Raw genomic sequence first — 1,960 nt, 5'->3', positions numbered from 1 at the left:
AAAGTCACAAGACAATAGTGTAGTGCTTAAGAACACAGATGCTGTGACAGATTGCTTGGTTGAAATGCCAGCTCAGCCACTTACCAGTTATAGCACCAGAGGTAAGTTACTTCCTCTTTCAGTGCCTTCATTGCTTTTTCTTTTTTTTCTTTTTTTTTGCAAAATAAGGATCATAATAGCATCTACCCTCAAAGAGCTGTTTATCTGCTGTTTCCTGAATGCCTGGTAAGCAACAGCATCAGTGGGAGTTGGGCAGGAGGGAAGCAGGAAGGTCCTTTGGAGCATGCAGATTTGAGCCTCAGCACTTTTTACCCTAGCTCTTGAAATGCATCATGATTTCTGTTCAGTGGATGGTAAAGTTTATCTAGGTTATCTTGGAAAAATGGCAACAAAACTTAATTGGAATGGGCTTTCGCTACTAAGGACCACTCTGAAGTGTGTAGGTTGCTAGAAATCCTCCCGACTTAGCTTTTTTTGAATTTGAACCCAAGATGCGGCTGAAGCTGTATGAGAGCTAGATGGAAGATCGCTGTGTAGCTGCCCTGTGAGTAGAAATGATGGCCCACCTATCTCTTGGGACTGTCACCCTCGAGATGATCATCGTAGGAGTCCTCCACCTCTCCGCAGATGTCCAAGAAGGAAAAGCTTCTCTCACAGGGGGAGTATCTTCTTTTCTAGAGATAGGAGAAAACACAGAGATCACTGTCTTGGGAGAGAAATCACAAGCCGTCCCGATCCTTCTCTAGGTCTCAGTCAGTTTAAGTTGAATGAAAGGAAATAGAAGACCAGTTTGCAAGAGAAGTTGTATGCAGGAAATAACTTCATTTGACGAGAGTATGTGCAGAAAACTCAAGTTTTGTTTGAGACTTCATAAGCATGGTACATTTTAAATATGTTTTAACTTTTCAAATTTGTTTGCCTTTGGGAACAGTGACACACAAAGGTGCAATTCTCTGTGGTTTGAAATAGATTCTGTGAAGCATGTAACACCAAGAATTGCTACTTTATGATGTTCCCTTAAGCAAAATCGAATTTGCTTTGAACTTTAGTTATGCATAGACTGATAATAAACCTCTAAATTCTGCCTAGTAGAAATGTAATTTTTTAAAAAATACAGAAACAAAACTGGCAAAAGTGGAACTAAGATTTACTTTTTTTCCATAGCTGTGATATAGTATGCAGCTATAGTTAAGCAAGTGGTAAAAGTTGCTGTGGAACACAAGCCAATGGATAAAAAGAAAAGCTGCAACATCAAACTAAATTAGAGGTTTTTGAGAAATCCAACTGGTTTTCACCCTGGGAGAGGTTGCCAAGTTGGTATAGAATCTGTTAAATTTCAAGTAAGTTTACCTTTACTTTAGGTCATAAGTTCCTTATGTAATTGCTATATATGAAGACATGCCTGTTTGTAACATTCTTCACTAGGAAATTTGAGATTTCAAAATACCAATGTCCTGCCAGTTTAAGGGTATTTTGTAGAAGTGAACTTTGAGTTACTATGCAAAAATTTGTTTTCATGCTGTCATTTGTAATATGTTTTGTGAGAATCCTTGGGATTATAGTTTTGCTTACAAAAAAAAAAAAGCTGTTTATGACAATTGAATGAGTCACCAGTACACAGTAAACTCTCCCTGCATTAGCCATTGTATTTCAGCGTTCTCTAGAGGGACAGAACTAATAGGATAGATGTCTGTATAAAGAGGAATTTATTAAGAAGTAATAACTCACACGATCACAAGCTCCCACAATAGGCTCAGGAGCAAGGAAGCCAGTCCAAGTCTCAAAGCTGAAGAAACTAGAGTCCGCCGATGTTTGAGAGCAGGAAGCATCCAGCATGGGAGAAAGATGTAGGCTGGGAGGTTAAGCCAGTCTAGCCTTTTCACGTTCTTCTGCCTGCTTTTATTCTGGCCACTCTGGCAGCTGATTAGATGGTGCCCACCGAGATTAAGGGTGGGTTTGC

General features: G+C 39.5%; 1 pseudogene across 1 annotated transcript; it reads left to right on the top strand.

Annotated features, from left to right (window-relative positions):
• Nucleotides 1–210: 210 nt before the first annotated feature.
• SRSF3P2 (SRSF3 pseudogene 2) lies at nucleotides 211–1,575 on the top strand (annotated as a pseudogene). Its single transcript, NR_036611.1, has one exon. The product of NR_036611.1 is annotated as an SRSF3 pseudogene 2 (transcript).
• The last annotated feature ends 385 nt before the right edge of the window (nucleotides 1,576–1,960 follow it).

This window comes from Homo sapiens, chromosome 8 (assembly GCF_000001405.40).
Source record: "Homo sapiens chromosome 8, GRCh38.p14 Primary Assembly".
Classification (NCBI taxonomy): Eukaryota; Metazoa; Chordata; class Mammalia; order Primates; family Hominidae; genus Homo; species Homo sapiens.
The sequence above is the reverse complement of the archived record's forward strand: the minus strand, read 5'-3'. Positions and strand labels throughout refer to the sequence as shown.